This window comes from Homo sapiens, chromosome 22, assembly GCF_000001405.40.
Source record: "Homo sapiens chromosome 22, GRCh38.p14 Primary Assembly".
Lineage (NCBI taxonomy): Eukaryota > Metazoa > Chordata > Mammalia > Primates > Hominidae > Homo > Homo sapiens.
The window spans coordinates 36,323,151-36,349,822 of record NC_000022.11 but is presented as its reverse complement, the minus strand read 5'-3'; the positions used below and the strand labels follow the sequence as shown (position 1 = coordinate 36,349,822).

Below are 26,672 nucleotides of genomic sequence, written 5' to 3'. Positions count from 1 at the left end.
ACTCTTGTTATGTTCATTTGGCACAATAGTTTTCTTGATTGTGGATTGACCCTAGGGCGATACACCTTACCATTAGTTGCTAACAAAATCCCTGCTATCAGCTTGTTTTTCTGTTGCCCAGGCTGGAGTGCAGTGGTGTGAGCTGGCTTACTGCAACCTCCGCCTCCTGGGTTCAAGCGATTCTCCTGCCTCAGCCTCCCGAGTAGCTAGGATGACAGGTGTGCACCACCACGCCTGGTTAATTTTTGTATTTTTAGTAGAGATGGGTTTTCACCAGGTTGGCCAGGCTGGTCTTGAACTCCTGACCTCAGGTGATATGCCTACCTTGGCCTCCCAAAGTGCTGGGATTACAGGCATGAGCCACTGTCCTGGGCCCAACTTGTTTTTTCAGTGATGCACATCTTTATCCCAAAAGTGTGGAGCAAGAAAGTTGTGCAGCCTGGTTATATAGAGTTTTACTGTGTCTTAATCCTATACAGTTTGCAAAGAGAAGAGGTGTGAGCATGAGTGATCTTGTGTGGCTGACGTAGTTGTATGTAATGTGTTGTCCTTCTCCTCCCCGCTTAGGTCCTGGCTATAAGTCACCATGGCACAGCAAGCTGCCGATAAGTATCTCTATGTGGATAAAAACTTCATCAACAATCCGCTGGCCCAGGCCGACTGGGCTGCCAAGAAGCTGGTATGGGTGCCTTCCGACAAGAGTGGCTTTGAGCCAGCCAGCCTCAAGGAGGAGGTGGGCGAAGAGGCCATCGTGGAGCTGGTGGAGAATGGGAAGAAGGTGAAGGTGAACAAGGATGACATCCAGAAGATGAACCCGCCCAAGTTCTCCAAGGTGGAGGACATGGCAGAGCTCACGTGCCTCAACGAAGCCTCGGTGCTGCACAACCTCAAGGAGCGTTACTACTCAGGGCTCATCTACGTAAGTGGCTGCCGTGGCACCCCGCAGGCTGGGTCTGAGGGCTCCGAGGTGGGGGGGGGGGGCGGGTCTTCCCATCACCCTCACGTGCCTGGGCCCTGGCTCTCTGGTTGAGAAGGGGGCTTGAAGGAGTGCTGGGGTGACATCCTTGAACTTTGACATCTGAACATCCTAGTGGGATGTTCTTATAGCATTATTCTTTTCCCTTTGCAGCCAAAAGCAAAACAGGAAGCCTGTTTTAGAACATACGTAGGGAGAAGAATATGGCCCTGTCTGAGGGATGGCCACCCACTGGCCTTCGTTCTCAAGTTTTGGTGGAAATATGAAGGTTCAGGTCAATGTTGTAGATTCCTTCTTTTTTAATTTAATTTAATTTAATTTAATTTTTTTTTTTTTTTGAGACGGAGTCTTGCTCTGTTGCCCCCGCTGGAGTGCAATGGTGTGATCTTGGCTCACTGTAACCTCTGTCTCCTGGGTTCAAGCGATTTTCCTTCCTGAGCCTCCTGAGTAGCTGGGATTATAGGCACCTGCCATAATGCCTGGCTGATTTTTGTATTTTTAGTAGAGACGGGGTTTCACCATGTTGGCGAGGCTGGTCTTGAATGCCTGACCTCAGGTGATCCACCCGCCTCGGCCTCCCAAAGTGCTGGCATTACAGGCGCGAGCCACCGCACCTGGCCTGTTTTTTTGAATTTTAATTATTTTTAATAATATCTTTAAAAAATCTTCTTTTTTAACATTTTATTTTTTAAATATCTTTAAAAATTTTTTTAAATAAAATATCTTAATTATTTAAAATATTTTAAAAAATATCTTAAAATAAAATATTTTAAATATTTTATTTATTTATTATTTATTATATTATTAAAATAATGAAATATTTTAAAAGATATTTTTAAAAATATCTTTATCTCTTTTGATTTCTTTCCAATAAGCTTTTTGCACTTTAAAAATGTAGTAGATTCCTTCTAAAGTAGGGAGTGCCAGTTCCTGGTTTCCTGCTTTGTTCCTCTTGCATCACTGGATCTCCTCTCCCTTCACCATTTGCCCCAAGCCCATTTTTGGTATCTCTGCCATCTTACTATTGTTTTTTTTTTTTTTTTTTGAGACAGGGTCTTTTTTAATTGGCCAGTCTGGTCTCGAACTCCTGACCTCGTGATCCACCCACCTCAGCCTCCCAAAGTAGCTCTGTTGCCCAGACTGGAGTGCAGTGGCATGATCACAGCTCACTGCAGCCTCAAACTCTTAGGCTCAAGCGATCCTCCCACCTTAGCCTCTCTGGTGGCTGGGACTACAGGCCTGTGCCACCACGCCTGGCTAATTTTTAATATTTTTATTAGAGACAGGGTCTCATTATGTTGCCTAGGGCTGGTCTCGAACTCCTGAGCACAAGTGATTCTTCTGCTTGGGCCTCCCAAAGTGCTGGGATTACAGGCGTGAGCCACTGTGCCCAGCCCATCTTGTTCTTTACGGATGCTTGTTGGTGTGGGTTACTTCCCTAGGGAGTGTGCTTTGAGCAGAGGTGAGCCACCAAGAGTAAGACTTGCTCTGGGACTCTGTCCAGCACTTTAGTGCTGGTCCCTTGCCAGGCTTGACCAAGGGGAAGTGTATTGAGAGTCCAGAGAGCAGCATGTGCAAAGGGCCAGCACATGCAGCAGATCAGGGGCGTCATTTTCTTTCTTCTGGCAAGAAAGAAAATGCAGAAACGCAGTCCATCACCAAGTTAGGAGACAGGGAGATGAGCATTTATGCATCCCAGAGGCAACGGGCTCTGGGGTCACAAAGTCCTGTCCAATATCAACCCCAAATTCCTCTGTTCAACTCAAAGATATTTCCTTCTGGTTTTGTCCCCAGTGGGAAAGAAATATCTGCTTGTTATTATTCCTAAAATAGCTCTTTATTTCTTTATGTTGCCCTAGCCACCTTGAACTTTGGGCTGAATAAAACAGTCCTCAAAATGTTTTTGACCTAGTGGAAAAAAGCCATGAAGAGGTTACTATAGGCTGGGCATGGTGGTGCATGCCTGCAATCCCAGGACCTTGGGAGGCCAAGACGAGAGGATGGCTTGAGCTCAGGAGTTTGATACCAATCTGGGCAACATGGTGAAACCCCATCTCTACAAAAAAATAAAAAAATTAGATGGGCATAGTGTGGCGTGCCTATAGTCCCAGCTATTTCTTAGAGGCTGAGGTGGGAGGATCACTTGAGCCCAGGGGGTCAAGGGTGCAGTCAGCCGAGATTGCACCACTGCACTCCAGCCTGGACGACAGAGTGAGACCCTGTCTCAAACAAAAAAAAGAAAAAAGATTATTATGGCCTTCCCACTTTACAGATGGGAAGACCAACTTTCAGACTGAGGGATTTTGCTCATGGTCACATATGTAATAAAAGCAGGTGGTGGCAGGCTCATTCTGTTACAGAGACAGCAGCTCTGAAAGGGTCAGCCGTTTAATTTTCTGTGTGACTTCAGACAGACTTAAGCACATTTCTACGAGGTAGACTCATGCTTCTGAGTGCCCTGCAATGTGCTAAAGCCTTCAATGGGAGCCATGGGCCATTGTATTTGCCCGGAACTCCTGACTAGGACTGCATTTCCTTGTTGATTGCTAAATCAGTCTGTGACAACGAGGTCTTTGTTTTCTGCCATCGATGCCCACCCTTTGGGGGATGAACCTGGCTCATCAAAGACCTATCAACAAGTAGATATGTGGAACAGTCTCCTTTACAACCCAGCCTTCTTTTTTTTTTTTTTTTTGAGACGGAGTCTCACTTTGTCACCCAGGCTGGCGTGCAGTGGTGTGGTGCCATCTTGGCTCATTGCAACCTCTGCCTCCCGGGTTCAAGCGATTCTCCTGCCTCAGCCTCCTGAGTAGCTGCAACTACAGGTGCCCACCAGCATGCCCGGCTAATTTTTGTATTTTTAGTAAAGACGGGGTTTCCCCATATTGGCCAGGCTGGTCTGGAACTCCTGACCTCATGATCCGCCCACCTCGTCCTCCCAAAGTGCTGGGATTACAGGCGTGAGCCACCACGCCCGGCCCCAGCCCAGCCTTCTAACATGGCAGGTGGGAAGAATTGAGGCCCAGAGATAGCAAGGAACTTAAGCAGGGTCACACAGCCAGGTGTTGGCCAGGCTGAGGCTGGAACTTGGGTTCCTGATTTTCAGACCTATTGTGTCTCATCTGTTGCTTGATAAGATTATCATGTGGACCAAATTAAAGGCCCCTGTCCCTAAGGAGTATTAACCACTGAAATTCAGAATTAGTGACTTGCAAATAAATGAATGGCAGACTGTGCTTTAAGGAAGCACAGTGTGTCTGTGGGGGTGACATGGGAGCTGCAGCCTCACTGTCTGGGATTGGGAGGCGCTCCTCTTGGCAGGCTTTATAGCTTATGTCACACCCACTCTGCTGTGCCACTAAGCTGAGATGGCCTCTGCTCAGTAAAGCAGAGCCCTTAAGTGCTATAGTTGGAGCCTCGAGGACCTGGTTCAAATCCCAGCTCTGCCCCTTACTGGCCATGAGACATGGCTATGTGGAGTCTCACTTCCTCATCTGCGAGGATTCCATGGGAACTTTTTTTTTTTTTTTTTTTTGAGACGGAGTCTTGCCCTGTCGCCCAGGCTGGAGTGCAGTGGCATGATCTCGGCTCACTGCAACCTCTGCCTCCCGGGTTCACGCCATTCTCCTGCCTCAGCCTCCCGAGTAGCTGGGACTACAGGCACCCACTACCACACCCGGCTAATTTTTTGTATTTTTAGTGGAGACGGGGTTTCACCGTGTTAGCCAGGATGGCCTCGATCTCCTGACCTTGTGATCCTCCCGCCTCGGCCTCCCAAAGTGCTGGGATTACAGGCGTGAGCCACCACACCCGGCATCCATGGGAACTTTCTAAAGTACCCAGCCAGCACCTGGCTCGGGGCAAGGCCTGGGGGCCTGGACTCAGGCTGCTGATGTGTGTTACAAGTGAAAATAACTCCTGTTTCTCTCCTTGGCTCTTTATTGGTGCCTTTTTAACTTGAGTCTCTTTTGGGATCTGCTGGATATGAATTAAAACAAGTGGAGCACCTGAGCCTGCCTGAGCTTGCACAGGGCCTCTCCCTCCCACGAAAGGGAACAGTCATTATTCAGATACATTCAGTGTTAGTGGCTGCGTCTTTCCATTGCAAGCCACACGCAGAGGTTTTACTGTGGGTGGGCGTGGTGGGTAGTGCCCACACCTTTTCTCTAGAACTCTTTGGCTGGAGGCATTAACTCTCATTTTTGCTTCCTTGCTGTCACCTCTGGTGTGCAGTTCCTCCTGCCTCTCACCAGCCTTCTTCTAAGCATCATCACTAAGAGGCCCATTGATGGCCTCTGTAGTCATTCTAGTGGAGACCCCAGCAGATGCAGAGTTATTAGCATGTCAGCGCCCCTGGGCGGGGCCGCCTGGATGGGGAGGTGCTGCCTGGATGGGGAGGTGCTGCCTCATTCATGGTCTATCTCTCCATCAAGCTTCCAAATCATGACCTCAGGAGCCTTCGTGCAGCCTGTTTGCCCAGCATTGTGGGTGGCGTGGCTAATTCTGAGCCACAGCTGCTCTGTCTTTTTCTTCAGGGGGTGAGGCCCTGGGATGGGGGCGGATGGGCACAAAGAGCCTCTGTGGCCTGTGAATGGAGCAGCGCCGTGTCGTGGCCGCGCCGCGTGGGCGCGAAGCCGCTTGCTCGATGTCTTGCCTCCACGAGCATCCAGTGAATCTCCTTCCTCCCACCTGAGCCTCAGTGCTCTTTCCGCAGGGCTTAGCTCCATCATCACTGCTTTGACGGGATTAGCCCAGAGAACTTTGAGCTCCCGTAGACCACTCCATAGGACCATGTGCCCACCCAGCTGTCAGAAAGACTTGTCCTAATGACCCGTGGTCCCCTTCTGCTGTCAGCACCAGCTGTTTCCAAACATCTGGCTCCATGGCACTCCCTTAGTGTGCGACCACGTGTCCTTGGTTTTCCTGGGCTGGATTTCCTAGAGTGTGGGTTTTCTCAAAGTCCAGGAACAAAGCTTGATTGTTTCTGAGCTCCTGGGGTGACCTTGCTGCTCCCTGGCCTTCTCTCTTGTCCCCACTCAACATTCACGCAGAGGAAAAACCAGAACAGGCTCCCGTGTCTCTTCCTCCTGAAATGCCTGGGCCCGCAGGTTGCCAATACCGTGTTTACACTTCTTCAGAGCTTTCCTGGTCTCTTGTGAAAAGAGCAGTTGGAGGGAAAACAAGTGACTAATTATCCCAGGAAGAAAGGAAATCAAGGGCCCTGCATCTCCTTTTCCAAGCAGCCAAACACGCTTGTCCATTTCTAAGCTCAGCTGCTCTTTTTTTTTTTTTTTTTTTAAGAGCAGGGTCTCCCTCTGTCACCCAGGCTGGAGCACAGTGTTGCCATCATGGCTTACTGCAACCTCGAACTCCTGGCCTCAAGTGATCCTCCTATCTCAGTCTCTTGAGTAGCTGGGACTACAGGTGCATGCCACCACACGCAGCTAATTTTTATTTTAATTTTTTAATTTTTTGTAGTGATGGAAACTTGCTTTTTTGCCCAGGCTGGTCTCGAACTCCTGGCCTCAAGCGATCCTCTCACCCTGGCCTCCCCAAGTGCTGGAATTCCAGTGTGAGCCCCTGTGTGTGGCCTCAGCTGTTTTGAATGCATACCATTGTGTGGTTGTTGGGGCCCTCTGGGTTCTGCCTTTAGTCAATTGCTGCTTGGAAATTCCCTGTGCCATAGCCTTTGGCCAGTGCCTGAGAAGAGCCTTCTCTTCATGACTGGTTCCTATGTGGACCCTGTCTTTGGGTTCAGCCACAAGATCCATCCCCAGTTTTGGAGTGACTGGAGAGGGCACAGGTGGAGGGGGCTGGGTTGACTCTGTAGTGCATGCAGTCCCTCAGATGGTGGCTGCTTCATGAACAATGAAGGTGCAGGCCACTTGTGATGGAGAAAACAAAAGGTTGGAAGGAGCTCGGAGAACTGGCCTCCGTGACCAAGGAGGTTGGCATTGGAGACCCGAGTCTGCTCCCAGCTCTGCCCAATGCCTTGTGACCTTCCATCATCACTTCACAGAGGCAGGGCCGTAGGTGATGTGGTGCGTGGAGCCCCGGCTTCACTTCGCCAGGCCCCTCAGGCCCATTTTCTTAGGAAGAGGGTACTTGGGTCACTCCAGTTGCTTGAAGAGGGTTGCGTTCCCCAACTGAACATCTGCCACCCTGGGTGGTCTTGGGAGTCTTGCGCAGCTTTTAGGAATCTTTTTTTTTTTTTTGGTGGGGGAAAGGGATCTTGGGAGAAAAAGTAACAGGAAACTTATTAGAAAAAGAATTAGTAGTCACAAGGTAAAGTATATTTCCCTGAAGACACGGAGGTAGTCACAAGGTAAGGTGTATTTACCTGAAGATGAGGAAGGACAGATGTGTGTAAACTGTTGCTGTTGGAAATGGTTCTCCTCGCCTACCCAGAGCTCCTCTCCAAGGCTATGCTGCGTGCTGTGCTATGTGCTTCATTTAATCCTCATAACCACCCAATGAGGTCTAGAGCTCTGCCTGTCCCCGTTTTTCACATCGAGAAATGGAGGGGGAGAGAGGTTAAGAACCTTACCCTTGCTGAGATTTGAACTCAGGATATCTGACTCTGGGGGTCTTATTTGAATTTGATCAAGTCACACTTGGAGTATTGGGTATATTTTAGGTACCTCACATTAAGGATGTTGATTAATTGGGTTCCCCTCCAGAGAGGAAGTCTTGGAGAAGGCTCACGGGGGACGTGAAATAGTCTTAAAGTGTTTGAGGGATTTGCATGTGAATGTCTCTAGAAGATTCCAGAGAAAGAGGTGTCTGTCAGGGACCCACTATCCCACAAAGGATCTAATTGGTTTAGGACACAGTGCGTTTTTCCAGTGCTAGAAAGGTGTAAGCTTCACTATCTCTCAGCGTCCTTCAGTGTGGAATGATTTGTGTTTCTACAGTTTGCTGCGCTGCAGCTGAGCCCTTTTCTGTTTGTGCCTCTCTCACGATGACAAAGACATCTCTCATTGTCCTCGGATCTGAGTTTTGTAACTGGACTTTGCTGTTGTCTGCTTGGCCGCGGACCTTGCCTGGTGGATACGCACACTCACTGACCTATGAGGCTGGAGCACTCCTGCAGTGGAGAGGGAGGATCTTCACTTACAGGGCAGAAGGAGGATGCCGGTGCTTCACACCTGCAGCAGGGCTGCGGGAGCTGGGCCACTGGGAGCAAGGGCCATCAGGGAGTGCCTTCACATCAGGCTGACTCAGGGGTCCTTTGAAGCCGCAGATATTTTGCTACAAAGTTTGTACACTACTGAGAATCAAACTTCCTAACCTGTTCCTATCTGCCGCTCTTTTCTTTAGACCTATTCAGGCCTGTTCTGTGTGGTCATCAATCCTTACAAGAACCTGCCCATCTACTCTGAAGAGATTGTGGAAATGTACAAGGGCAAGAAGAGGCACGAGATGCCCCCTCACATCTATGCCATCACAGACACCGCCTACAGGAGTATGATGCAAGGTGGGTGACGTAGTGTGTGCCCACCTGGGGCTGAATCTTCACCTGGGGCCTCATTGACACCTTTGCAGGTGCTAAGTCACATTTGGTGCCACATTGATCTAGTGGCTGGTGATGGGCAGTGCATCATGGAGGTCTGTAGACCTCTGTATGAAAGCCAGGGCCAGTGGCTATCCAGAGGACATGTTTATATGTTGATAGAATGTTCTAGAAGCTTTAAAATATACATTTCCTAATCTTTCTCTCAATTTCTCATACTTTTCAAGAGCTCTTGTGCCTGTCCCCTCTGCTTTCTTTTAGGCCCCTTCTTCTTCCTGTTCTTCCCTTCCCTTTGTGTTTTTCCCTCTTCCTTTCTTGCTTCTTCCCCACAGTCTAGAAACACGTTCGAGTTCTTCCCATCTCTACACAAACAGATGCAGAGCCTCGGGTGGCTTCTGCCCCCCTGTCACTCTGGCTTCTGTGCCCCTTCTGTTCCATCGCAGTGAAGCTTTGTGGAGGAAGTGTCTGTGCTCACTGCCTCTATCCCCACCTCCTGGTCACTCCCCTCGCCCTGGCTGTCTGTCCCCACCCCTTCTCCAGACTGGCCAACAGAGGTCACCTATGTATGACCTGTGTGTTGCTAAGTCCACGGCTCTCAGGAGTTCCTACCTCACCTCTCCCCAGCATCGGACAGTCTCTACCACTTCCTTTCTTTCTTTTTTTTTTTTTTTGAGACGGAATCTCGTTCTGTCACCCAGGCTGGAGTGTGCAGTGGCATGATCTTGGCTCACTGCAACCTCCGCTTCCCAGGCTCAAGCGATTCTCTTGCCTCAGCCCCCCTAGTAGCTGGGATTACAGGCTTGTGCCACCATGCACGGCTAATTTTTGTATTTTTAGTAGAGACGGGGTTTTGCCATGTTGGCCAGGCTGGACTCGAACTCCTGACCTCAGGTGATCCACCCACCTCGGCCTCCCAAAGTGCTGGGATTACAGGCGTGAGCCACCGTGCCTGGCCAACTTTACTCTTAATAGAGCCCCCTACCCTGTGCTTCCACCAGCTGGTCATCTTTCTGGGATGTAAATGTGATCAAATCACTTGATTTGAAATCTTGACAAATCATAGAAAGGCTCCTCATTCCCCCAGAGCTATTAGGTTGCTGCAAAAGTAATCGCGGTCTTTGCCATTAAAAGTAATGGCAAAGACCGCGATTACTTTTGCACTAGCCTAATAACACTGTGACTCTGTGTTAGTGTACAGTGCCCTTCAAAATTGGCCCCTTGCCTACCTTCCCACCTTCCTAGCTATGTGGAACTCCTTACATTTCCCTAATAGCTCTTTCTGCTTCAGAACACCCTACCTGCTCCATCTGCCTGCAATGCCTGGCAAATCCCTATTCTTTTTTTAAAAACATGACTGAAGCATTAGGGCCTCCAAGGAGAATATCTGGGCTAGATTTGCATCAGAGCCCTGGTAGTGCTTTATTTGACTGCAGTGTTTACACGTTTCTTTTTCTCTCCTAGATACAGACAGGGCCCATGTTGCCTTTATATTCTCAGAGCTTAGCCAAGTACCTGGCATATGTAATCCTGACTCAAACCCAATTTTCAGGCAGGGCCGTGTTCTCCTATCTTGTATGGATAGTGGTTTGTTATGTCCCATTACATATGGATCCTTTTTTCTTTAAACTTTGCAGTCTATCTAGACAGTGGTGGTAATGCATCTTGTTGGGTTAACCACTTTGTCCCTGGTTTAGTGGTTTACAGTGGCAGCTTGCAGCCTGTCCTCCACCACCCACGCTGTGCTGTGAAGGAGGCATTTTACTGTTGAGCTTGATGCATTATGTAGGATGCTCAAGTTTGGCCGAGTCTTTGGCTTATGTTCACGTCTATCAAAATATCTTGAGGAAGTCAGGCCTTCAGTTCTAAAGTAGAATGTCTGTTTCAAAATGCTAACTAGAACAGCCTGGTGGAAAAACATTCTGTGGGATTCCAGAAAGGTCTGATTCTTTGTCTCTAGAGGTTATGAGTCAGTTTGCTCCCAGCTCTCTTAATTGGCCTAGTGCAAAAAGTGTACTCCGGAGTCATCTTGAGATCTGAGCTACTGAGTAAGGGCCTGTTCTCACACTTGGATCCTGGATTGGGATGGTTATCTAGCAACTGGGCATTTTTGCTTTTAGGCAAGACATTAAGACTGAGTAATGTGTACTGATGAGGCAGGAGACAGTCTTCAGATCTGGACTTCAGACTGTCTTCAGTTAACCTGTGGGACTCCTTCTCCAAGAGATTCATTCAATTTTTATTTGTTCAACAACAACAAAAATTTGGTGGTGGCCTGAAAGCTCCATACATTGAAAGTAATTGGGGGACAAAAAAAAGGATGCAGAGAACCAGAGCTTTCCTTTTTCTTGGCCATACCGAATGGCCTTCATAGGAACTTAGGGGCCACCCTCGTACATCTGTGCAATTCAGGGTCTCTTCATGATTTGTCAAGATTCTGAATCAAGTGGTTTGATCAGATTTGCAAATTATGAGGGCAGGTAGGTGGGCGATTTCTTTTTCTTTTTTTTTTTTTTTGAGATGGAGTCTCACTCTGTCATCCAGGCTGGAGTGCAGTGGCACGATCTCGGCTCATTGCGGGCTCCGCCTCCTGGGTTCAAGCAATTCTCCTGCCTCAGCCTCCTGAGTAGCTGGGATTACAGGTGCATGCTACCACGCCTGGCTAATTTTTTTGTATTTTTAGTAGAGACGGGGTTTCACCATGTTGGTCAGGCTGGTCTTGAACTCCTAACCTCATGATCCACCCGCCTCGGCCTCCCAAAGTGCTGGGATTATAGGTGTGAGCCACCGCACCCAGCCAGGTGGGCGATTTCATCTTTTGGAGACCAGGGATAGGAAATACATTTGTGAGCACGGGAAACTTGTATTGTTGATGCCTCCTTTAAAGCAGTCCGTGCAGGAATTGGGTCCATGTGTTTTCTAACCCTCAGTCTGAGAGGTTTTCACTTTGCCTTCTGCTAGCATTGGACTTGCTGCAGCTCTTGAGCTCCCACATTGACTGACGAAGGACGTCTCTAGGCTATTTTCCTTCTTCTTCGGCTGGGTGTGGTGGCTTACACCTGTAATCCCAGCACTTTGGGAGGCCGAGGCAGGTGGATCACCTGAGGTCAGGAGTTTGAGACCAGTCTGGTCAACATGGCGAAACCCTGTCTCTACTAAAAAAACAAAAAAATTAGCCAGGCATTGTGGCGCACGCCTGTAGTCCCAACTACTCAGGAGGCTGAGGCATGAGAATTGCTTGAACCTGGGCGGCGGAGGTTGCAGTGAGCTGAGATCGTGTCATTGGACTCCAGCCTGGGCAACAGAGCGAGACTTGGTCTCAATTAAAAAAAAAAAAAAGAAAAGAAAGTTCCTTCTTTTTGTATATAGCTGACCTGCAAAGCAAATACTAATAGGTTTCTTGCTCTTGGAGCAGGGAGGAAGTTAGTAACAGAAGTTGTCCATGTTATGACAAGCTGGTTCACTAGTAAAAGAAAAATATCCAGAGGAACCTTTGGTTCTTGCCCTGGGTCATGTGTCACCCGTGGAGCCTCGGGGTCTGCAGGCTGTTAAAATCTGCTCCTGTCTTTTGGAGTGAAGTCTTAGTGCATGCTGCCCCCCTGGCTTTGAGGGAAACAGATTTGTTCTCTGCCACTTACATCTTAAAAGGCACAGCCGGAAAGTTCCTTTTGTGCTTTTTCTTTAAACAAGAACTAGACAAAGATTTCCTTCCTGAGCTGGCTGTGCCTTATGACATACTAGCATTTATTCTGCCAAACGGGGCAGTTGGTGGCTCTGTCTGGGGACTTGTAGGAGAGGAGCTCTTTGACCCTTCCTGGGGACCTCCATCTGCCTTTATCTGTTCAGTGTACTGGTTTGCCTGTACAGTCCTGATTTATGCCTGTTGTTCCACAGTTATTATTAATAGCACTCTCTTTCACTTTCAGAAGCATCCCAGTTTGGAGGATAAATTATATGTCACTCACCTATTGTCAGACTAAGCCAGGGATTCTCACTCTTGGCACTAGTGATATTTGAGGCTGGATGATTCTCTGTTGGGGGTGGGGGATCTTCCTGAGCACTGTAGGATTTTTAGCAGCATCGTGGCCTCTATTCACTTGGTGCCAGCTACACCTTCCCTCTCCAGTTGTGACAACCAAAAATATTCTCAGACATTGCCATCAAGTTTCCGTGGGGGGCAAGATTATTCCCAGTTAAGAACTACTGGACTAAGCATTGCAGATTAGTTTTACTTTGAGTGTCATCTCCGATCGATCAGTAGTGGCTGCCTGGAGCCCTGTGCTGGCAAGGATTTGAGACTCGATGCAGGAATTCTGAGATGGATTAGTGCTGTCTGCCGTGGGCACGGGTGGGGCATCACAGCATGTAGTGCCTTGGATTAGGCCGTGGAGGTAGGTGACAGAAGGTGCCAGAATGCCAGGAGGTTTTGACATTATCCTGTTACTGGATGCCCTGGCGGTCCAGGTGGAGAGACGAGGCATGTTTATAGACAGAGATTTGTGGCCCTAGCTACAAAACAAGACATTTGGTGCCTACACCTGCGCCAGCACGACTGAGCCAATGTCAGGTGTCCTGGGAGTTTTGTCAGGTGTGGCGAGGTCGGATCTTGCAGAAAGGCGGTGGTGTGTGTCAGTCAGTAAGTAGTTACAGGGCATCCCAGACGTGCCCAGCGTGGCCTTGGGTGACATGGTCGGTTCACCCTCCTGCCCCTGGCTTTCCCATGTTGTTAATTCGTTGTCATGGCCGTTCCTGGGTCTTCCTGCCTTGGGGATTGGACTGTTCCTCGGAACTCTGTGATGGCACCAAAGGCTTTGAACTGGCCAAGGCCAGGAGAGTGAGAGAGCGTAAACGTTGTGTTGCTGGCCCTTGCCAGGCAGCGGGGGATGGGTGGGACTGTGTCCCGGGGCAGGCACAATGGTCTGCTGTAAAGTTCAGGTGGAAGCAGCTGTGGTCTGCAAAAGGTCTGCCTCGCCTAGGAAATGGTGCTTCTGGATCCCGGGCCAGACCCTCTGGGGTCTCCCCTATGGGGAAAGGTGTGTATGTCTCTACAGGAGAACTCACTGGTTGAGGAATTTGACATGAGCCCAGTTATCTCCCCAGTGAGTAGAAAAAGCCCCTTCTATGTGAATTAGGTAGAATGCCAGGTTTGGTTCACTTTCAGTGACTTTATGGTATTAATATTTTAATGAGTTCCCAGCATTTTGGGGGAAGCAGATCTGCTTTCATTCTAGGCCTAAACTTGTCTGAGAGCAATTTAACCCTTTGCTCTGTGCCAGTCTCCCTTCCCACCCGATCCCTGGTTCCCAAGGGAAGCTGCACCAGAGGTGGTTGGTCACCCAGCAGCCGCTCAGAGTGCCAGTGAGTGTGCACATGCCCCTCGGTGTCTGACCTTTTTCTGTAAACAATGAGGGGTAGAATTTTTGTGTATCTTCACGTCTGAGCATGGCTCTTCGAATTCATACGTAAAGAGGCAGGCACAGATAATGTTAACTGGCTTGTCGAAAAGCCCGCAGAGAGCCAGCCCCAGAAAGCAGTCTCCTGATTTCCTGTCCTGGTGCCTGTTACCCTGGCACAGGCCCGTGGGGCATTGGTGCCCCTCATTTTCTCTGGCTGGTCTTGAAGGAATTCTTATCTCCAGCTCAGTGGTTGGGGGGCACTAGGGGAGGAGAGGCCCTCTCTTTCCTTCTCTCCACATTCTCCCTGCCCCGCTAGTTGTGTCTCCTGTGGAACTGTCTGCTTTCCAATGTCTTTCTGAGGAAAAGTGCCATGTTTGGCAGAGGCTCAGGAAAAAGCTTCAAGGGGCAGAAAAGCTCTGTTTGAATCGACTCACCGGGACAGGCAGCTGAGGAAGGAGCGCCATGGAAGCCACAGATGGGATGACTCTGCTGAAGCAGGAATGCACCCAGCCGGGAGGCCGCCAGCCCTGCCAGCCGTCAGCACACAAAGGCACCGCTGTCTGCTGGGGAGGTTGGGAGCAGGCCCTGTGTGCCTAAATGTGCCTGTGGAGGCAGCGTGGGCTCTCCAAGATGGGGCGTGTTCTGTGTCTGCACCTGCTGGTCTCTCTGTGCTGGCTGAGCTGAGCACCTACTGTGTGTGTGCCGGGCACTCTGCAGAGAGTGTACAGACAGCAGGCTGGGGCCTGCCTGGAGGAGGTGACTGTTTCGTGCTCAGAGACAGGCAAATCAGCTTCAAGATGAGAGCCAGAGACTAGCACAGAGGAGGGGCGCCCCACCGAGCCTCGAGAGCTTCTGGGGTGGGTACGGGCCTTTGATAGATGACACAGCACTTCTATAGGGCACCAAAAAGGGGCTGCTGGGCCTGTCTCAGCCTTAGACTTGGGAATAGTGCCACGTATTGCCTTTGAGCAAGAGGAAGTGTGTCGTGGAGGAGAGACTGTGGGTTTTGGACTAGACAGAGCAGGAATCTGCCTCTTTAGCTTCCTAACTGCAACCTGGCTGGAGCAAGTCAACTCACTCTAATTGAGCCTTTGTCCTCTTGTCCTCCTCTTGGGCTTCATGACACTCCTGGGCAGGGCCATGGTAAGAAGTAAGACGCCGTGTGTGTGATGCCTGCGATAAGTACCTGTTAGAGCTGGCAGTAGGAGTCCAAACACTTCTTGACTGAACTGCCCCGCCTTCCACGGAGGCTTCAAATCGCTCATTCCTTCCGTCCACACTCCTGCTCGCTTAATGAAGGTGATGGCCAAATGCATCTTCCAGGCAGCCATTTGAATCTCCCCAAAAACACTCTCCCGAGAGTCCAGGTGCAGGAAGTGAGTTGTCACAGCCGCCCCTGCAGCGACCGCGCCACACACTGGAACGCGATAGCAGACGCGGTCCTGGCTTATCTGGTCTGGTCCACGCAGAGCTGAGGCCTGGGGCTGATGTGGCCTCAGTGGAGCTTTAGGAGATGTGCTTGATCCAGAGTTGGTTCTTCTGCAGCCCTGAGACACTTTTCTGTTCCCTGGGATGCTGGTGGACCAGACAGGTGCTGTGGGAAGCAGGCCCTGGGCCACCACCCAACACCATGGCTGCAGCCGGGAGGCGCTGTCCTCGAGCTGATGCGAGCTGGCTGCTTTGTGCTGCTCCTCCAGGAAGGAAAGCCCGGCCCCAGCATGAGGCTGCTGAACTACCCATGGTCCTGCCTGTCAGTCTCATTTCTAGAACTTCTTCTTTCTAGAAGAGGAATCTGCAGTTAACGGGCCCTTTTCAAGGATTCAGCGTTAGGCTTACTTTTTTTTTTTTTTGTAAATCCAACCCAACAGGCCCACCATGCTTTGCTCTGGGCCCACTGAGCGGGAGATAAAAAGGAAGTGGCCTCTTAGAACCTGAAATTTTGGGTGGGGGTGTTTGGAAGCTTTGCCCAGTGTTTTTTGTTTCTGCTCCCCATCCCCTGAAATAAACCAACAACAAAAACTCACATCAAATCCCTAATCACTAAGCCACTTCGTGCTTTTGGCCTCCCGTGACGAGTTCTCTTGCTGCCTGGTGAGTGTCACCTACCAGCCCGTTTTTCCTGTTCTCTCCAGCTCTGGCTTAGAGACTTCAGTTGAACTGTGTCCCAGTTTGTCAGGGCTGAACAACAGTGTGTTCAGAGAAAGGAGTTGCTTTCTTTTACATACCTGATTTCTGGAATGAAGTTATCAGTTGAGAACCAAAGTAATTCCCTACAACTAAAGAAAGATAAATGAACTGAAAAGCTGCAGGTATAAAAGTTGGGATTCTGCACGTGGCTTCTGTCAAATTTGTTTAGTCTTGACCAAGGCTGTCAGCCCCGTGTGGACCTTGATCATAAACTCCATAAACTCTTGAGACCCCAGGTTTTCTTTTGGCAAACAGACAGTACTGATGGGGGCTCAGGATGTCATTCCCACCTGGCTTTGGGATTCTTCCTGAAGATCTTGTCTCTTCCACATGAGCTGGTCCACAGATACAACAGGGCACAGGTCTAAGCTGAAAGGAGAGGAAGCGTGAGCCGTGCTCCAGGAGTGAATCCTAGCCTAACAGTCACCGACATGCCTTTCCTTCTACCGACCGCTCCTCCGAGGCAACGTGTTCATGCGCTGTTAACTGTTCACCTCCTACCATTGATGTCCCTGGTGCTCTCAAGCACGTTTGACTCATCAAAAGGAGTTTCACAAAGCTGGTTGCTGTCTTTGCAGGCCTGTTTGTGCTCCAACAGGGAGCTGAGTTTGTCATGAGCAGTGCCTGGCTGTGTCTGCCATGCTCCCTGTGTGTGTCCCAGCTCCTTCCCTCTTATTCCCTGTTGATCCAGCCCTCTGCAGAAGTCAACAGGGGCCCCTCCTGCTTTGTCTTTCCTTTTCGCAAGGGAAATGTTAGGTAGGAGCAAGGCGGAACCGGACTGGGAGTGTCCCGGTGGCATGTGCTGTGGGTGGTCAGCACTCGTATGTGGTTTTGAATTTCCCTCCAGTCTGACAAACCTGTTGGAGCTGCCTTGGCAACAACCCCAGAAGGAGAAGTTTCCCCCTCCTGGCCCCACCCACAGAAACAGCAGTGCTGTTTCTGGCAGATTTGCCTGTGTGCTGGGAACTTACCTGTGTTTTCCTAATGCATTTTGGCCAAGAGAAGGCTTGTTTGGGGCCTCGCTTAGTCTGACATAATGAAAGTTAAGAGCAATACCTTGAGGTTTTTTTTTTTTTTTTTTTTTTTTTTTTTAATTATCCAGAGTGTCTGGAGGGGGAGGGCTACCCATTCTCTGCCTCCTATAAGTGGGGACTTGGGTCTCAGCAGGTTCAAACCAGGTTCCACCTGGGAGATCACAGGGGCTATGGGGCAGAGGCACTGGGCCGAGTCGAACTGGCTTCTGGTGTGGATGCTGCTGAGCAGGCATGTCCCTTGGTCTGGGCCTACCGTGGTGGCCTGGAGGGCACACTCGCCCATGACCACATTGTGTGCCTGGGAGCGACGGAAGGGGCTTCCTCCTTTGCTGGCAGATTGCTAGGCAGGCAGGCTGCCAGGAAGCTCCACCCCACTCGGCACAGATCTGCAGCCTCTGCTAATATGAAGCATCATTTTGCACTTGCTTTTCTTCACCTCTCTGTTTGCCTCCCAAAGACTTGTAACCCAAGCTTGTGAATTGAGCTGGCTGTGGAGAAGCAGAGCTTCTCGTCATGAGAGTGTCGCGGCCCTTTCTTTGCAGCACTGAGGCAGGCCTGCGGGAGGTGCCGAGTGCTGTGCTCATAGGGGTGTTCGATGGAGGGGAGTCCTGGGGTGCGTGAGGTTTCCAGAGACCTGAGTTCTCAGCCCCATTTGTGCAACTCTGATCAAGCCATCCTGGCAACGCAGGGCAGGGCTCACAGTGCCAACACATATAGCAAGCCACCCCCCAGGGGCCACTCTGGAGTTTCCCTGAAAGCAGAAGACTCCCTGGTGGTGGAAAGTTTTGGTCCCATTTGTCTCAGATTATCCCATCAGTCTCACCCAACGTGGGCATGTTGTCCAACCTGAAACTGCCCTTTTTCCTGTTTTTCTTTCTTGGCCCATACCCATTTCTCAAGAAGCCCAGTGGAGCCGAAGATGGGGTCCTGCAGGGACCTCTCCCAGGTGGAGCCCGAGAGAGCTGCTCCATGCTGGAACCTCGGGAGGTGTGATCTTGGGAGCTGGGTGATGAGTCAGTCCCAGCAGTGGCTGCTGGTGAAGCAGGCCCCTTCCTCTGTACTTCCTGTTGGGCTGATGTCACCGCTCTGCGAGCCTCGTGGCCTTTTATGGACAAGAGTGAGCTGCAGCTCCTCTCACAGAGGAAGTGAGGCTTAAGCCCCCAGCAGAAGTCTGCACCTGGGATGAAATACCTGCGGTCAGGTTCCCCTTCCTCCCTCCTGGGCCCAGCCTGCTGAGCTGGCTGGAAACACCTGTCCACAGGTAGATGGCCACATCAGCTCAGATGCCCTCACTGCATGGGCTTGGCCTCAGGACATTTTCGGTTGAAAATGAAATCCAGGGAGAAAATGGCCTGGTTCCTGAATTTGTAACTTTTATGAAAGACTTTCTCGTGGCGGTGCCAGGGAATTGCTCAGTTGGGAGCTCCGAGACAGCAGGCGGGTGAGGACGGCATGTCTGGGCATCTGCCTCACACCGTGTACGACAGGAACACCATTTCCTTCCATCCTCAGAGCAGTCCCTTCATTCCCAGAGAGGTCAAGGGGCCAGGCATTGCGTGGGGAAGAGCGGAACCCAGGGCCACAGCGCTCTCGGCTGTGGCTTCCTCCTTTGCAGAACTGCTCCAGACACATGGACTAGTGGTTGTCAAACTGTGCTCTGAGGAACCCTGTCTCCACCACCCACTGTCCCTTGCTCAGGAATTTGGGAAGATTTTATCTGAGGAAGGACTGCCGCTGCTTTTTGAAAAGTCTGAAAACTACTGCAGAGTGACTCATAACCCCATCTCTACCCCACCCTCACCAAGAGAGGGGCTGGGGCAGTGGGTTCAGGCGCCTACCACGGCTAGACTTTCATCTGGCAGGGGGCTCGTGTCCCAGAAGAGGCTTGTCCCTGGCGGCCTCCTCCCGTTTAGAGGAAGGAAGGGCGTTTTCAAATAAGCCTTCAGTCCTTACAGGCCAAATAAGGACTCGAGCCAAAACAAGCAGATTGGGCCGGACTCTGAATGTGCTCATCCTGTGAGATGACAGTGCGGGGAAGGGTTGATGGGGTGGGCGCCAATGGCAGTCTCCACTAGAATGCATAGGGTGGGGAGGTGGGCTGCAGAGTAAACTGAGTAGGCCAAAGAGCCCACTGGTTGCTAAGAATTCTAACCACCCCACTGCCCAGAAGAGATGCCTCTGAGATCAGGAACAAATCCAGAAGAACCGCTGTGTGGAAAGATGGCAAAACAATGATGATAATACCTGCTTTGTACATTACAATACAATACCTTGTAAGGTTATTGGAGGCCACACAAGATAACAGACCAAAACCCTTCCTGAGCATTGGAAAGACCTTTTCGGTTGCATGGGGCCATGGTACGATTCGTGGTGCATCCGGCCGGTGGATTTAGGATACTAAGCAGTGCGGTAAGAGATGCAATGAGGAGGCCTCCCAGCAGTTTGCCTTTCAGAAAGCATTTGTCCAGATGAATGTTCCTGGCAGAACAAATCCAGATTTCTTTAAGGTATGGTTAGGCTGTGTTGACAGTGGTAAATTGGCTTCAGGAATTGGACGGGGAAGGCTGGAGAAGTGGGAGAGCTAGGGACGCTCGGGTGGATGGAGAGGAGACACTGAATTTGGCTCTGGGGTTTCGGAATTTGAAGTGTGTGTGCCTGTGCATACATCCGTGTGTGTGCATGGCTATGTACATACATGTATGTTCACATTCACCTGTGAATACATGTGCCTTGCGTGCCTGTGTTTGCACTTGTGCTTGTGGATATGCATCTGTGAATGCGTGTGCAGCTGTGTGCCTTGTGTGGATCTATGTATATGGCTTTGCACACGTGTGTGCGCATGTATTTCTGTGCACACGTACCTCTGTACACCTACCTCCATATGTGACTGTGTATGCACAGATGCTTGCGTGTCTATGTGTGTGTCCATGCCCTTGTGCGTGCGTGCGCCTCTGTGTGCATGCCCTCGAGTGTGTTTGGGGGCTCTGCTTCCTGTTGTTCAGCAGCAGAGCCTCTGACTCCTCCTCACACAATTAGAGGAATTCCAGCCATCCTAGGGACAGCCCTGGGAAAACGGTTCCTCTGGAAGGGTTGGGGAATGTTTCCTTTTATGGTAGCATTGGGCCGTTGGCTGCTCACGACTTGCCAGCACTCGCAGGTACATTCTTGCCTGCTAGTAGAGCCGGTGACTAAACATGCCCACAGCTGGGGCAGACCACAGGGAGACGCAGTGGGGGAGGGCAGGGGGCTGGGATGACAAAAATGTTTGTTCCAAACCCTTATCGGTTGCCACACTGTCGTTAGGGGCCAGCAATGAAATTGCTCTGTCTTCCCCAGGCTGTGGTTCCTGCCGCCTCCCTCCCTTCTGTCTTCCCGTCTGTCTAGTCGAGGATGCAGGTCTCTAATCTCTGTCCTCGCTGTGCAGGCTTGAAGGACTCGTGTTTTTTGAGAAAGGCAAGGGGGAGTAAGGCTTGCCTCCCCTAGAGCTTGCCTCCTGAGTAGTTTCCACATCAGAGAGCAGGGTGTGGGGTGTGTTTGTGAATGAGAGTGACCCAGCCCCTCTGCGCCCCCACCCCGTTGATGCTTAGGGGGCTGGGAGGAAGCTGCGGCCCAGGGCAGGGGCAGCTGCCATTGGTGTTGGGTGTGAGGTTTGTTTTTTCTTCTTTCTGTCTGGGCTTCCTTTTCCCTCCTGAATGACCAGTGGGCAGAAGAAGAGATTGGAGGCAGTGCCCAGCCCCACACGCTGCTGAGGTCAGGCATGCTAGAAAGCTCACCTCGGAAGAGGCAGGCAGCCTAGCTGGTCGGTGGCTACTGGTGTTGAACGGTTAAATGTGTCTCCTGAGGCCATGCACGTGGAAAGCCGTGAGTCATTCTCCCAGTGCCTAGTCACGCAGGGCCCTGACCAGGTGGTGCGAGCCACTCAGTGTGTCCTTCACACGTCGCTGAATCCGTGTTTCCACCCAGGGCTGATACTGTACCAACAGCCACGGATGCTCCCACTGCCCTGACAACGCCACTGCCACCCATCGTGGCGACGTCGCGTTGGGGAAGTCGGTATAGACAGCAACCGTTTGTGGAGCTTACTGTCTTTACAGGGACTGCGGCAGGTCCATTTTATGTGTTATTTCTATTTTTCAAACTAATCCTGCAAGGGAGTTAGTAGCAGATCTTACTTTGTGGATGTAGAAACTGAGACTCAGAATTAAATACCTCACTGCAGCTCAAATATTTGTAAGTAGCCTGATCCTGGATTCAGGCCAATTTGACTTCAAGGACGGTGAGGCTATTAGATGGGGCGGGATAAAACGGAAAAAAATGAGTTTATATTTTCAGCTGTTGCTTGAATACCCAGTACTGAACAGCCAGGATGCCTTAGTGTTTCTGGCAAACTTAGCTTTCAGAGTGTGGGCATTACTGCCCCTCCTGTACTGGGGGAGGGTGGGTATTTATAACCTTCCTTGCCGAGCAGTTCATAGAGCTGTTGATAGTTGCTGAAAGTTCCTGACACCCGGCTAGAGAACAGGTTGTCACAGAAACCCATCAGAAGCTGTCATTCTTTACAAGCTGCCTCTAAAGTGACATCATTGCACGCCTTCCACTTGCCAGACACCGTGCTGGTGTGTTCACATGTGTTGTGGACACAAGTACTGTTATCCCACGCTGCGGAGGAGGGAGCTGGGGCTCAGAGAAGCCTGCGCACCTGTCCCGGGTCTCAGGCTGTGAGGCAGCATCTTATCCCAGGGCTGTCCCGTTGCAAAGCCAGGCCTCGTCACCCCTCCTTCCCCAGCCTCTTAAATGGTGCTCCTTCCTTCAGTGGGGATGGTATTTAGAGCACCTGCAGCAGGCTTCTTTCTAACAGCTTCAGCCCCCCACCCCGTTATAAACACACAGGGCAGGTCCCACTCAGCTCCCAGGGAAGTCGACTCCTGGAGAGTTTTCCACACACTAGTTCCTCTAAGGTGGGAGACACAGAACTATTTCTGGTTTTCTGGTGGGGGCTGAACAGCGTGGGTGGACAATCTGAGCTCCTGGGCGGCAGGAGCAGCTGCCCAATGGCACTCTCCCCCGAAGATGCTCCTCCTAGCCAGGTGTGAGGGTAGACTGCGAGATCCCCACAAAGACAGCATCTGTGACACTGTGCTCCCTGTCTGGGAAACGGGCAGCTCTTTGGGAGCAAGGTGGGGAGGCTTTTGCATCTGGCGGGAGTTAATCTGATGTCTTCTTTGTTTCAGACCGAGAAGATCAATCCATCTTGTGCACGTAAGTATTTCTCCGTCTGGGTAGTGGTTCGTTTCACCCCAGTCTGTTCTCATTCTTGAGGTCTCCTACTGAAACCACAACTGGGGCTTGCAGAGTCCCCCATTCCCAATTCAAGGCCCCTCCTCCACTTCTCCAAGGGATAGGACTTCAGTTTGTGTGTTTGCTACTCAGTGGTCCCACTGCATGGATGAGCTCAATTTCAATCATCCTTCCTCAAGGAGCCAGTGGGAAGGAGGGTGGAGCTTATGGCAGAAAGGAAAAGCAAGATCTCTCCACAATCCAGCTGGGAACCAGCTCCTCCGTAACTTCTGGGTGGAAGGCATTCCTTCTTGCTCTGGATGGTGGCTTTTCTTTACCTGAATTGAAGTAGACACTGGGGCCTCTCAGCCTCTGAACTTAACAAGGAGATCCATAAACCCCATTGCCAAGAGAGTTAATGGCACAGAACATTCCTTTAAGTGACGTTTCAAAGGAACATGTACAAGTGCCTTTGACCCCTAAGTCCACAGCTGCCTAAAACTGATTTTTAAAACACTTGGATGTGAAGTCACTTGCCCTGACAAGTGACCAGGACAGGCAGTGGATTTCAGTTTACTTCTGTCTGGCCCCTGGAGAGCCATGGGAAGTGAACTGCCTGAGGATTCCAGAGCGTTTATGTGGCAGTCCCGTTTTCTGCCACACGTTGGGTCCTTCACGGGCACCCAACAGAATGCGAGGCAGTGGAGCGTGCAGTGGGAAGGGACAGAGGTCAAGGACTTGGCCATGCCTAAGCCCGGGACTTCCTTGCCTCTCTTGGTAGTGGTGAATCTGGAGCTGGCAAGACGGAGAACACCAAGAAGGTCATCCAGTATCTGGCGTACGTGGCGTCCTCGCACAAGAGCAAGAAGGACCAGGTGAGTGCTGCAGCCCTTGTCCCTGTGGCCGCCTGCTTGGCCTTGGTGGGATGATGGAGGAAGAGCACTTAGTGGTCCCGGCTTCAGCTTTACAAGAGGATGCTTTGGGGAATGAAGCAGAGGCTGGGCCCATTTCCATTGAGGCAGTGGCGTGGCCTGTCCTGGGAGTGGTCCAGCGGTAGCAAGCCCATTCCATCCTTGGCCTCCTAGCCTTCTGAGTTGCTATGGAAACTGGCGAGGTCCTGGAGTTTGCATGGCAGCCCTCTTGGCTTTTGCAGCTCGTTGCTGTGTGTCCTCCCCTTCTGAGGCTGGAAGGCAGATTCCAAGACTTGGTCCTCAAGTTGATGGAGGCTTGAAAGGTCTCAGGCAGACCTGTATTTGATTCCATTTCTTTTCCCTGCTGTTGAAATGCCTCTGGGTGGACAGCCACCCACCCCCACCACCCCAGCGAAGACAGAAAGGGCAATTGGAAAGTCATCTCACCTCCATTTTTTTCCTCTCCCTTTTGATGGATTATGGTTGAACCCAGCAGTGTCCTCGCTAGGTGAGCTGCACGTTTACTGCACGTTCTGCACTGGGAATGCGTGTTCTGCCCATCGTGTGCCCTTGAATTCTGTATTTTGTTCTAAGCAGCTTTTCACCCCACACTTGTCACTTTCTGCAGCTAGAACTCTTCTTTTAGGCTCAGCTCACTGACTGTCTTGGGAGGAGGGGCTGGGTGTGGCACACAGTGACCTCCTGTGCACTCTGAAATGACAGCTCCTGCAGAATGGGGACGGGCCTCACACCTAGTTGTTCTCAGAAACTCCAGTCATGCCCAGATTTCCCCACAGCGCACCATAGCTGTCATGTCCCATGCGGAACCTGACCCCGGCACGGTGGATGGGGACTCCGCTCTCACGGAGCCCTCCACGCTCTGTGGTCCAGACCAGATGCAGATGGCCGGCTGCCCTCACCTGCCACCGCCGTGCCAGTCAGAAGCAGTGCCGGGGAGTTCTCACGTTGGAGTTTTTCAGAGGTTGGGGTGATCAGACTTAAGCATGGCTGTGGGATGCTCTCTCTCAAGCACACACTCTTAACCTCCCCTGTGAAAGCTAAGTGCCAGTGGTGTTCCTTGAAGCCATCAGGGGAGCTTGGCCGCTCCCGGTGGCTCCACCTTACTGGCGTGCCGTGTGCGGCCTTCGTAAGTAAGGAGGGGTGTGAGTCTGCATGCAGGTCTGGGGTGTGGCCTGCAGAATGGCCTAATGAGTACAGTCTTCTGGAACCGAACCAAAAGTAACTTTTCATGTGCCAAGCTTCTCAAGACGTTTGGAATCTTTTTCCATGGGGCGTCAGGAGTTATATTTAGAAACTAATACAGTTTCTTTTCTTCTGTCTCCCTCTCTGTCTCTCTCTCTCTCCATCCCTCTCTCCCTCCCTACCCCCGATTTTCCATTCTTTTTAGGAGGCCTATTTTAAAAACAGAGCTGTGAGGTTAGGAGTTCTCTAGCTGTGCTTTTCCATCTCTGAATTTGCAGTAAAATCCATTTCCCAAGTATTTATTGACTGCCTAGTATGTGACTGGTTCTTGGGAGGGTGACATTGGAGTTCCTGTCCTGAAAGACAGGAGACAGGACACGGAGAGCAGTGAAATAGATCATATGCCTTACATCTGGGGTTCCTGTTGTAGAGGGGAAGGCAGCACTCAGCAAAGACAGCATGCTGGGGTTGGGGGTGACAGTGGGAGCCACGTTGTCAAAACGCAGACTTTGGTAGGCACCCCGTCCCTGCCCTGAGCCCACTAGAGTGAGGGAGTAGGTTGCCCCAGGCTTCCAGTCATAGCTCAGGCTGTCAGCGTGAAAGACCATTGGCCGGTTTGGTTGATTTCCTTGCCTGAAGCTGTGCTGTGATTTTCCACAGGCTGCCGGAGCACAGAACACCCTTGAATTGGTTTGGGAGCCAGCGCTCTCTCACTTGCAGTGACCGAGTTGACCCTCCCAACACCAGCAGAGGGGTTGTTCCAGACCTCACCTTGCTGCGGGGAGGCCAGGTTTGGCCTGGGCCGCAGGTTGGCAAAGCAGAGCTTGGTCCAAGGGGCTTTCCAGGCAGATGCCCGGATCCTGAACGGTGACCTTTGACTCTCCCTGCTCTGTTATTTGTGTACGAGCTGGGGCCCACTGGCAGAAACACCACCCAGTGAAGCCCTTCAGAAACCGATGGGTAACCCCAAACCTCATACAGTACCGCATCATTTCATGTTACGCAGATTTCATTGAAAAATTAAAATCTCTTCTGTGCCCAATTAGATGTCAGTAGAGAAAAAGCCATAGGTTAGTCATCACTGTTGTCAGCAGGGAACACAGCTCTGGAATCTGAAGTGGCTGCTCCCGACTTGGCCCCGCGGCCCCACTTTCCACGGCAACAGCGTGTGGTCCCAAACAGAGGCCTCAGTTCGCCTCCCAGCCAGGGCGAGCACAGGCAATGGAGGGGCCGCGCTCCCTTCTGTCTGCGGGAATGGGAGCGGTTCAGCCAGCCTGGCAGCCTGGCCTGTGCTCTGAGAGGAACGGCGTAGTGGGTGGGGGAGCCATTCTCATCCAAGTCTGGCTCCGTGGGCTGCCTCAGCCGACTTCCCAGGCCCGCCCGAGGCCTGTGGGTGGAAGCCCGGTGTCCAGTTACCACTGGTGCCCAGCGCACACGTAGAGCCTGCTCTGTGGGCTTGACCCCTGCCCTCTGACCTGGCCCTGCTGACCCTCCTTCAGGGGCGGGCACTAGAGCAATGCCCTCACTTGTCTGGATGGTTCACAAGCGGAAGGCTTCCTAGCCCTGGGTTGGGGGGTCCTGGCCTAGGAGGGCTGCCAGAGGAAGAGTCTCTGCTGTGTCCCTTGTGGTCTCAGGTGGGCTTCCAATCTGGCTCGGCTAGACTCCAGAGTGTCCCCGGTGCCCTGCAGATGGGTCTCGTCTGTGGCAGGTGTGCTTGTAAGGCCAGGGTCCATGGCTCTCCTGGGAGCTCCTACTCCTCCTAGTTCTCCTTGTCATCACTCACAGGCGGCTGCTGTTCCCGGAAAACCCTGGCTTGCCTCCAGTCTTTAATAAATACAAAGGCTTGCCTGGCCCTTGTGTGACGTTCTTTCCCCCAGAGGGCACTCAGGCATTAAGGGGAACCAACTCCCTAGTTTCCTTAGCCAGCGTTAGTTAGTCCCTGGTGGCATGGGCCTGTTGCACAGGTGCGAAGACAGGGCAGTGGCTGACAGGTTAGGGAGGGGACTGGAATTCCGCCACCCCGCTCTGCGGATTGATAGCTGGATGACCTTGAGCACCCCTCCCTTGGCCTCAGCTTCCTCTTCTGTGAAATGGGGCTGCTCTGTCCTGCCCCGTGAGTATGGTGGGGATCCAGGGATAAGAAGGCACAAGGGTGCATTTTGTCTACCACAAAGCACC

At 51.3% G+C, this 26,672-nt stretch overlaps 1 protein-coding gene across 1 annotated transcript in view, besides 16 other annotated features; it reads left to right on the top strand.

The window, feature by feature from the left end:
- MYH9 (myosin heavy chain 9) overlaps positions 1-26,672 on the top strand; it is a 106,688-nt gene that overhangs the window by 38,145 nt on the left and 41,871 nt on the right. Inside the window, exons 2-5 of the mRNA NM_002473.6 lie at positions 568-919; positions 8,297-8,453; positions 22,335-22,362; positions 23,162-23,255. Coding sequence (NP_002464.1) covers positions 587-919; positions 8,297-8,453; positions 22,335-22,362; positions 23,162-23,255 — 612 coding nt within the window. The 5' untranslated portion in view covers positions 568-586. The remainder of the gene's footprint in view (positions 1-567; positions 920-8,296; positions 8,454-22,334; positions 22,363-23,161; positions 23,256-26,672) is intronic.
- Positions 5,434-6,093: an enhancer, noted in NCBI's record as "H3K27ac-H3K4me1 hESC enhancer chr22:36739775-36740434 (GRCh37/hg19 assembly coordinates)". NCBI's record gives its function as "activates a minimal SCP1, AML or CMV promoter by ChIP-STARR-seq in naive H9 embryonic stem cells {active_cell/tissue: H9 hESC(naive)}" and the evidence as "EXISTENCE:reporter gene assay evidence [ECO:0000049][PMID:30033119]".
- Positions 6,430-6,947: an enhancer, noted in NCBI's record as "H3K27ac-H3K4me1 hESC enhancer chr22:36738921-36739438 (GRCh37/hg19 assembly coordinates)". NCBI's record gives its function as "activates a minimal SCP1, AML or CMV promoter by ChIP-STARR-seq in naive H9 embryonic stem cells {active_cell/tissue: H9 hESC(naive)}" and the evidence as "EXISTENCE:reporter gene assay evidence [ECO:0000049][PMID:30033119]".
- Positions 6,948-7,466: an enhancer, noted in NCBI's record as "H3K27ac-H3K4me1 hESC enhancer chr22:36738402-36738920 (GRCh37/hg19 assembly coordinates)". NCBI's record gives its function as "activates a minimal SCP1, AML or CMV promoter by ChIP-STARR-seq in naive H9 embryonic stem cells {active_cell/tissue: H9 hESC(naive)}" and the evidence as "EXISTENCE:reporter gene assay evidence [ECO:0000049][PMID:30033119]".
- Positions 11,075-11,575: an enhancer, noted in NCBI's record as "H3K27ac hESC enhancer chr22:36734293-36734793 (GRCh37/hg19 assembly coordinates)". NCBI's record gives its function as "activates a minimal SCP1, AML or CMV promoter by ChIP-STARR-seq in naive H9 embryonic stem cells {active_cell/tissue: H9 hESC(naive)}" and the evidence as "EXISTENCE:reporter gene assay evidence [ECO:0000049][PMID:30033119]".
- Positions 16,893-16,942: a silencer, noted in NCBI's record as "silent region_13664". NCBI's record gives its function as "represses an Ori minimal core promoter by ATAC-STARR-seq in GM12878 lymphoblastoid cells {active_cell/tissue: GM12878}" and the evidence as "EXISTENCE:reporter gene assay evidence [ECO:0000049][PMID:35858748]".
- Positions 16,993-17,082: a silencer, noted in NCBI's record as "silent region_13663". NCBI's record gives its function as "represses an Ori minimal core promoter by ATAC-STARR-seq in GM12878 lymphoblastoid cells {active_cell/tissue: GM12878}" and the evidence as "EXISTENCE:reporter gene assay evidence [ECO:0000049][PMID:35858748]".
- Positions 17,503-17,742: an enhancer, noted in NCBI's record as "active region_18924". NCBI's record gives its function as "activates an Ori minimal core promoter by ATAC-STARR-seq in GM12878 lymphoblastoid cells {active_cell/tissue: GM12878}" and the evidence as "EXISTENCE:reporter gene assay evidence [ECO:0000049][PMID:35858748]".
- Positions 17,503-18,915: a biological region, named in NCBI's record as "MED14-independent group 3 enhancer GRCh37_chr22:36727082-36728281".
- Positions 17,587-18,786: an enhancer, noted in NCBI's record as "MED14-independent group 3 enhancer chr22:36727082-36728281 (GRCh37/hg19 assembly coordinates)". NCBI's record gives its function as "activates an origin of replication core promoter dependent on BRD2, BRD4, P300/CBP and CDK7 cofactors, and independent of MED14, by STARR-seq in HCT116 cells {active_cell/tissue: HCT116}" and the evidence as "EXISTENCE:reporter gene assay evidence [ECO:0000049][PMID:35650434]".
- Positions 17,656-18,285: an enhancer, noted in NCBI's record as "NANOG-H3K27ac-H3K4me1 hESC enhancer chr22:36727583-36728212 (GRCh37/hg19 assembly coordinates)". NCBI's record gives its function as "activates a minimal SCP1, AML or CMV promoter by ChIP-STARR-seq in primed H9 embryonic stem cells {active_cell/tissue: H9 hESC(primed)}" and the evidence as "EXISTENCE:reporter gene assay evidence [ECO:0000049][PMID:30033119]".
- Positions 17,963-18,022: an enhancer, noted in NCBI's record as "active region_18923". NCBI's record gives its function as "activates an Ori minimal core promoter by ATAC-STARR-seq in GM12878 lymphoblastoid cells {active_cell/tissue: GM12878}" and the evidence as "EXISTENCE:reporter gene assay evidence [ECO:0000049][PMID:35858748]".
- Positions 18,063-18,112: an enhancer, noted in NCBI's record as "active region_18922". NCBI's record gives its function as "activates an Ori minimal core promoter by ATAC-STARR-seq in GM12878 lymphoblastoid cells {active_cell/tissue: GM12878}" and the evidence as "EXISTENCE:reporter gene assay evidence [ECO:0000049][PMID:35858748]".
- Positions 18,286-18,915: an enhancer, noted in NCBI's record as "NANOG-H3K27ac-H3K4me1 hESC enhancer chr22:36726953-36727582 (GRCh37/hg19 assembly coordinates)". NCBI's record gives its function as "activates a minimal SCP1, AML or CMV promoter by ChIP-STARR-seq in naive H9 embryonic stem cells {active_cell/tissue: H9 hESC(naive)}" and the evidence as "EXISTENCE:reporter gene assay evidence [ECO:0000049][PMID:30033119]".
- Positions 20,578-20,827: an enhancer, noted in NCBI's record as "active region_18921". NCBI's record gives its function as "activates an Ori minimal core promoter by ATAC-STARR-seq in GM12878 lymphoblastoid cells {active_cell/tissue: GM12878}" and the evidence as "EXISTENCE:reporter gene assay evidence [ECO:0000049][PMID:35858748]".
- Positions 20,806-21,435: an enhancer, noted in NCBI's record as "NANOG-H3K27ac-H3K4me1 hESC enhancer chr22:36724433-36725062 (GRCh37/hg19 assembly coordinates)". NCBI's record gives its function as "activates a minimal SCP1, AML or CMV promoter by ChIP-STARR-seq in naive H9 embryonic stem cells {active_cell/tissue: H9 hESC(naive)}" and the evidence as "EXISTENCE:reporter gene assay evidence [ECO:0000049][PMID:30033119]".
- Positions 21,436-22,065: an enhancer, noted in NCBI's record as "NANOG-H3K27ac-H3K4me1 hESC enhancer chr22:36723803-36724432 (GRCh37/hg19 assembly coordinates)". NCBI's record gives its function as "activates a minimal SCP1, AML or CMV promoter by ChIP-STARR-seq in naive H9 embryonic stem cells {active_cell/tissue: H9 hESC(naive)}" and the evidence as "EXISTENCE:reporter gene assay evidence [ECO:0000049][PMID:30033119]".